Source organism: Homo sapiens, chromosome 13, assembly GCF_000001405.40.
Source record: "Homo sapiens chromosome 13, GRCh38.p14 Primary Assembly".
NCBI lineage: Eukaryota > Metazoa > Chordata > Mammalia > Primates > Hominidae > Homo > Homo sapiens.
Window position 1 is genome coordinate 36660550 of NC_000013.11, and position 8107 is coordinate 36668656.

Here is an 8107-nt window from a genome sequence, read left to right on the forward strand (position 1 = left end):
TGCTAAAGGAAAGATGAGACAGTTCTTATTTTATCTCAACCATTTTCTCAAGGAAGTATGAGGTAAGGTTGTAAGTTACAAGTTAAGATGTGGAAGAAGTGGCATAGGAGTTTTGAGGGGGAGAAAAGAAGGTGTGAAATAGTTGTTTAGAAGTGAGAACTTGAACATGCCAGAGAAGACCAGAGGATTGCTAGGCAGTGTGGTGTGCCCTTCCAAGAGCTGTGATCATGGACCCAACGTGAAACCAGCCAGCCTGGCCTCCTGTTCCTCTCTAGCAATACTGAGCTACTTGAGTGCAGGCATGTTGTTGGCAGGTATTTGGGTTTAAGTAGAGCTGGACGGATGAGTTGGTTGCCAGATGAGAGATGAGTGTGATGACAGAAGAGAAGAACGAAGGACTCAAAGGTGTTTGGAAGAGAGTGACTGCAGTGTTGCGTGGTCTTCAAACTCTTGCTTGCATAGCCCCTAAAAATAGTTTTGAAAAACTATGTACCCACACATTTTAAGATAACATCTAAATTTTTCATTGTAAGTCTAAATGTGATATATTTTTGACATACAGTACACTTTTATATCTCACTTTTTAAAAAATGTAACCAATGAATTTAAATACCATATAATTTTGGTACCTACCATCATCCATTTAAAAATACATTTAGAAGTGCTTCTTAAATTGAAATTGTACATCTTTTCTTTCTATTTGAACCTGTACTTTCAGTCTACTCCCTTCACACCCACCCCCACAACTAAATTCTACAATATATTTTTGTACTCATAAGATTTTTATTTATCATTCTCACACATTCCTCTGCAACAAAAATATGTATATAAACTAAAGTTCAATGTAATTTTTATATTTTCCATGAGTATAAGCCTCTAAGTGTTGAAAATTGTCTTCTAGACTAACTTACTATTGCAATTATGATTGATATACAAGTGACTAAAATAATTTTTATATATTCAGACTTTTATCAAAACAGAAATATGTTAACATTTTTGATAAGTAACTATTAAACATAAAATTAAACATTTTATTGTAAGTTCTTCTCTTAATACAAACTAGAACAGTTTAGATAAATGAGGATACCTTTTTCCAGTTAATTATTTCATCCATGGGAAAAAGTTACTTATTTCTAGATTAAGTCATAGAAAATATAGACCATCATTATATATTTTTATTGTTATATATGTGCTGAGAAACTTTTTTCTCATACCTATGTAGATAAGAATAGAAAAACATTTTATAGCAATGTCACTCAACCTTTTGAATTCCTTTTGATCTGAAAGCCAAAAAATATCATATAAGGATCTATCATCCTTATGTTATATGGAATATGTTAATAACCTATCAGCTGATAACTCAATTTATTGGCAGTAAAGAATTAGAAATCTCCTAACTTGCAAATGGACTTGTTATCCAGTTATTGGAATCATTTATTTTTCTGAAGGAACACATGCCAAAAAAGCTTTACTAAGGTTTATCTGAATGTAAATTATAACTTGCTACTCTTTCACTTAGAGGCACTTTGTTTAATTCAATATATTCAGATAGAAATTTGGAAAAGTAAATAATGTTAATTTGATTATGCCTTGGTCAATACAATATGTTTGATAAAATGCTTTAATTTAATCATATTTTGTTTTAATTAAACTTCTTTTCTTAATTTATAATTTTTGTGGGTACATAGTAGGTGTATATATTTATGGGATACATGAGATGTTTTGATACAGGCATGTAATGCATAATAAACACATTATGGAAAATGGCGTACGCACCGCTCAAGCATTTATCCTTTGTGTTACAGTCTAATTATATTCTTTTTGTTATTTTAAAGTGTACAATTAAATTATTATTGACTATAGTCACCCTGCTGTGCTAGTTCTTATTTATTTTTTCTGTTTTTTAATACCTGTTAAACTTCATATTTCGAGATAATTGTAGATTCACGTGCAGTTGTAAGAAACAATACGGGGAGAGCTTGTGTACTCTTTATTTGGTTTCCCCCTCTCATCACATGTTCTTTGTACATTTTCTTTTTTGAGACAGGGTCTCGCTTTGTCACCCAGGCTGGAGTGCAGTGGAAGCGATTCAAGCGATCTCAGCTCACTGGAACTTCCACTTCCCGGATTCAAGCAATTCTCAAGCCTCAGCCTCTCGGGTAGCTGGGATTACAGGCACTCGCCACCATGACTGGCTAATTTTTCTATTTTTAGTAGAGACAGAGTTTTGCCATGTTGGCCAACCTAATCTCGAACTCCCAACCTCAGGTGATCCACCTGCCTTGGCCTCCCAAAGTGCTCGGATTACAGGCATGAGCCACCACGCCCAGCCAATACATTTTCATCAATACTTCAAAGCTGTAGACTTGGCTCTTTCAATATAAGGAAAACGCCCTCCATGCAATCTAACTGGCAAAGCCAATATCAGTGCCAAATCAGCAGCAATATCAGACTTTATTGCATTCAGAAAGCGGCTGACTTTTTACAATTGTATCTTCACATGTATTTTATGGATATTATTAAAATACTGAGGTAGAAACTACCGAATATATTTTGCAAACTAGATTACTTGTTTCTGCAGCCAAGATTAAAATGATGTAGAATTCATATAATTATTTTGTATGTCTTTCAGCTATTATAAAAACAAGACCACAATAATACATTGTTTCTCAATAGTTATCTGGTATAATGCAATGTAATGTGCAATGAGATGGTAATTTTTTTATGAAATGAGAACTATTATGATAACATGAATGACCTTCCTCTGGTAAGTGAGTTGTATACATGAATCAAGTTTGTTTTTCATCCTTTTGGAATGAGTAAATAAGAATTAATATGAAATTAGAAATTTTCTTTTTTTTTTCTCCTTTTATAGCTATGTTGCCAGAAGAGGTGAATAGAACATTTTTTTTAATTTTTAAAATTTTTTTAACTTTTATTTTAAGTTCAGGAGTACATGTGCAGGTTTGCTACATAGGTAAACTTGTGCCATGGGGGTTTGTTGTACAAATTATTAAGCCTAGTACCCATTTTCTATTAATTTTCTTAGATACAGTAGTCTTCAATAATAAATTTAGACTTTTCCTCTGAATTAAGGAAAAAGGCACATATGCTAAAAACTCACTGGCCCAGCAGCCAACACATAGTATTATTTACTGTTAACAGGAGGCACAAATTATTAAACATTTTATAAGGTAAAATCTTAAATTTGTTAAAAATAAATTTTAGCTATCTTATTGAATAATGAACATGAACTTAAATTATTATTTTTTTACCTTATATATCTTGAAAAAATTGCTAATCTTGGAAAGCATTCCACTGATAGCTGCAAGAATCAGCATCATGAACCTATTCTACCAGGACAGTTCAAAGGTTCTTTTCATTTCACTTGATAAAATGTCCTGGGAATGGGGGAAAGAGTAACTCTATGGGAAAAAAATCTGCCAAACACTACCTCAGCCAGGTGATCAAGGCTAACATCAACAGTGATAAGTCATGTTGATAGTGTGTACCCTGGATATGATGTAAAGAAAATGGCACTTTACCTCTGAGATTTTTCTCCCAAAACCTAGAAGTCCAGTCTAATCATGAGAAAAACATCAGATGAATTCCAATTGAGGGATATTCTACAAAATACTTGGCCAGTATCCCTCAAAATTGTAAAGGTCATTGAAAGCAAGAAAGTATGAGAAAGTGTCACAGCTGAGAGTAGAATATAAGGAGATATGAGTGCAGTATTCTGAATAGGACACTGGCATAGAAAAAAGATATTAGGTAAAAAATAAGAGAAATAATATGGCCCTTAGTTAATAATAACATCATTATTGAAACATTAATTGCTTTATTAATTATGACAAATATACCATAATATTGTAAGATATTACTAATAGGGGGAGCTAAGTGTGCAGTAGATGGGAATTCTATCTTTGTCAATCTTTGTAATCTATCATTGTTCTAAAATTTTAAAATTTAATTTAAAAAATAGTCCTAAGGATAAGTATCTTGAATAAATAAAGTAAAACAAAAATTGTTCAGGTATGTTTTTTAACATGTTGTTTTTAATTCTCAGCATTTTCTGATGATATCTTCTTTGCTTTGCCTTCACAGGACTCTACTTTCAGAGCAGTAGTTTCCTTGGTAACAGACCAAAGATAAAAGAGTCAAAGTAATTAAACAAAAAAGATTATTATTCTTTCCATATCATTCTATCCCGTATCTGACTCCAGAACATTCCAACATGGGAAAGATACACACTGTTTATAGGACCAAATACATAGAAGACAGGAAAACCAGGAAAGTCCTAAGTGTTTCAATTAATTATTAAGAACATTTTCCTAAAACTAATACTTTGGCACATCACTTTATTTGGCACTCTGAAGGTTTTACGGCCCAGTTGCATACATGATAGTAAGATTCGGGATGGATGAGGTATGTGTCTTTCTCATGTAGAGTAGGTGAAGGGGCTCCATACATACCTGTGAGTTCTCAGGTGGACCTACTTAAGAAAAAGAATCTATATGATTGAGAGTTTCCTTAAAACTTTCTTTGCAAGGAAGTCCTCCCTTGGGAAGTCTTCCTGTACCTGATGGGCACCTAGTTTGCAGACCACTGGAGTGATGAATTATGGTGTCTAAGCTGGACAAGAAGGGAAGTGAGAACAGAGGGGGATGACCGACTGAGAAAAGCAGTGGGCACTGGTTTGGAGGGTCCCGTGAAGGTGGAGAAATACCTGGAGAAGTAGGAAAAGAAAAGAGAGAACAAGAGTAAGAAGAAGGGAAATGAGATTTCTTTAAAAAGAAATGGAAAAAAAAGCACAAGAAAAGGCAAGACTGGAGTGTGCGTGCTGTTGCGGGCAGGACAGTACCAGGACCAGCAGCATTTTCAGGCAGGCCTGTCTTCTCACACATCTTCATGGCAACCACCGCTGCCCGTGCTCAAGTCTGTCTTCTTCCCAACTGTGTCTCACAAACCCAGAACAGTTCCTGGCACAAGGGAGGTGCACAATAAATATTTGTCAAATACATGAAAGTATTTATGACATTTAAACTGCAAACACTGTTCAGGGAAAATTTTCTCTACTTACCTGCCTGCATATCAAAGCAAGAAGTAGAAATCCTATTGCTACTGGCTCTGTTTTTATGGCACCATTTCCCAAAACACTTTCATTACAGGTACTTTGCATGGAAATACCTCCTTGAGCTTTGAAAAACATTTTTAACATATGAAAAAAATAGTTCAATATGTAACAGTAAGTCTGTTGAGTCTGCTGTTCTTTCCTGTCTCCCTCCGGCAGTGTCTGTGGAAGTGTCATACTTTCTTATTCTACACACATAATACTCTGCTAATATTTACGGTACTGAAAGAATCAGGATCCATTTCTGTTTTCTTCTTTCATTGACTTGAGAGCACATTTGCTCAAGATGCACATTTTCCCAGGCTACCAATTGTTAATTCATTTTCACCTGAGTGTCCGGGGAGCAGCTGCCTGCACTCCAACTGTCCACTTGACAGTCAGTGCCATTCACATACCACACTTCTGATGAGGATCCCTTCGAGTAAAACCGCAAAATGAGGCAAAGAATATAGCAGATGAGTTTGGCTCAGAACTATCTCAATAACAATCTTCTATTTTCTTCAAGATCATCAATACTAGTATGGTTAAATAACATTGCTGGGTTTTTAACTCTTTTTCCACAAGAGAAAGCATATTTTAGTCATGCTGAAAGCTGTAAGCAGACTTTCCCCATATATTTGAGGGTTAAGCTGAGGAAAGGATGACAACGCTCTTGCCAGACAATGGAAGTTACCAGTGCCAGACATTTTGGGCTCCAATATCTCAAACCTATTTAGCTCTTCTCCACTCCACTCCACATTTCTTATTAATTCCTTCAAAGTTAGTTTTCTGTCCTAACACCCCAAGTTGCCCTTTTGCTGTTATTAAATTGTAAACCACGTCAAGGAAAACTGATCTTTGAGAAGTACCTAAGTGGCACATTATGAACTGCAAAGCTCCCACAGAGCAATTTAAAATGATGAATATCCTTTTCAAACATCCTCTTCAAAATTGCACATGGACCTGAGCCAGTCACAAGACAGAGCTGTGGAGGATGCATGAAGCTCCCCGTCTGCTCTTCACGTTGCTCATCATTGATTTATAACACGCAGTGCGTCATCTGGCCACACAGACATTGATGGGGCTCGTACCCCATGAAAAGATGCATCCATGGCATTAACGTTTTTCTCCTACCTGCACCCTGATGTGACTCACTGCTATTCCAAGAGCATTTCCACCCACTATTCTGAAAAGGAAAAATAAAAAAACAAAACAAGAAACCTGTGGTATATTTTAGACTTTGAAGGAATAAAGCTCTTTAGAGATAACTTGACTTCTGCTTTCTTTAAAGCAGCTTTGATATGTCTTCTCTCCCTTCAAACACAGCAGCATGAGTAAATCCACTCCTTCCTGCTTCAAGTCTCATAAACAGAATCACTTTTTTTTTTCCTGGAGTGTGTACCATTCACTGCCTGGGTGAGACATACAGATATTTCCTTTCAAACAAGCCGTGAGAGGGCACTGTATGTTGCAGGAGATAAAAATGAAGGCCACAGGCTGGACGCAGTGGCTCAGGCATGTAATCCCAGCAGTTTGGGAGGCCAAGTTGGGATGACTGCTTGAGCCCAGGAGTTTGAGACCAGCCTGGGCAACATAGTGAGACCCTCTCTTTACCAAAAATTAAAAAATTAGCCATGTATGGTGTGCATGCCTGTAGTCCCAACATCTAGGGAGGCTGAGGCAAGAGGATTGCCTGAGCCCAGGAGGTTGAGGCTGCAGTGACCTATGATCACGCCACTGCACTCCAGCCTAGGCCATAAAACAAGATCCTGTCTCAAAAAAAAAACAAAACAAAACAACAACAGGAAGGTTGCAGATTCCTATAAGTAACCTAAAGGCACAACTAATGCTGGTGTAACTTCTGAGCAGAACCTCCAATGGGGCAGGTATGATGCCTGTCTTCCTCGGCCCACTTTAGCCTGGTCCCATCTCCTGGAGGAGCAGAAGGGTAAAGAAAATCGTGCAAACTCTCACTCTGCAGCTGGCGCAAGGCAGGCTGGGAATGGGGCTGTTTGGTGCTGGTGTCTACCTCATTAGAACAGCCACTATGCTGGCCCCGCTGCTCTCCAGCCCTCTTCTCACAGGGCAGCCCGCCAGGACCTTCCTTCTTGGAAATGGTCCATAACACATTCCCTTAGAATGTCCCGGGACCTCTCGTTGCCATTTTCCATGATCTACTCTCCACTCTCCCCCTGCCCAATGCCCAATTCTTCTGCCCTCTAATTTGCTCATTCCCTGAGATCAGACTTCTGAGAGTTCGCTTTGAGGGTAAACTCATACAATCTGCTTGGGTGCTAATGGCTAGTGCACAGAGAAACACCCCTGGCTCTTCTTTCCCTTCAGGGAATAGAGCACGTCTTAAACAGAGGCCTCTTATAAAACATTAATTTTCCAGCCCAGAGGAGGAGGTCTCCTGCTTGGAATTTCAAGTAAGATAAGAAGAGAAAGGGACATCTTGGAAAAGGCGGATCAGTGACTTTTGAGTGACTCTATTTGACAGCTATTTACTGGGTCCTAGTCAAAACATCACTGCAATCCTTGGAATCTTTTGGTCACAAAAAAAAAATAGATTTTTGCCAGGTTACCTCAGATAATAGGGGAGCTATGGTAAGGATACACATCAAAATAAGAGCAACTGGAATTTCAGGGGAGCACATGAATAGCCAGGGTTATTCAACTTTATAGAAACTGAAATGTAGTTTAGAAATTGGAAAAGAGTTCAGGATTCAAGGCAGATCTAGTGAATATGTTAGCACGGAGTCCCCTGAAAAGAGGGGTTCATTCATTCCCTTGCCTTCATGTTCCTCTTGGCTTCAACTTGCCTGCCACTATCAGCCAACCACCACTCCCTCTCCTCTGCATGTATTTTGATTTCTGCTAGCTCATAACTTCTGCTTATTCATAACTTCTGCTTACTCATAATTTTAACCTACACATCTCTTCTCCTTTCTCTTAGTTTCTAGGTGTACGTTTTTTGCTTCTGTTATGGATTCT

At 37.5% G+C, this 8107-nt stretch overlaps 1 long non-coding RNA gene across 1 annotated transcript; it reads right to left on the minus strand.

Moving 5' to 3' along the window:
* Window positions 1–4038: 4038 nt before the first annotated feature.
* LOC124903157 (uncharacterized) lies at window positions 4039–6459 on the minus strand. The gene is made up of 2 exons (XR_007063759.1): window positions 4865–6459; window positions 4039–4729 (listed from the first exon to the last, which is right to left on the minus strand). It is a non-coding gene; the product is annotated as an uncharacterized LOC124903157 (long non-coding RNA).
* Between the last annotated feature and the right edge of the window lie 1648 nt (window positions 6460–8107).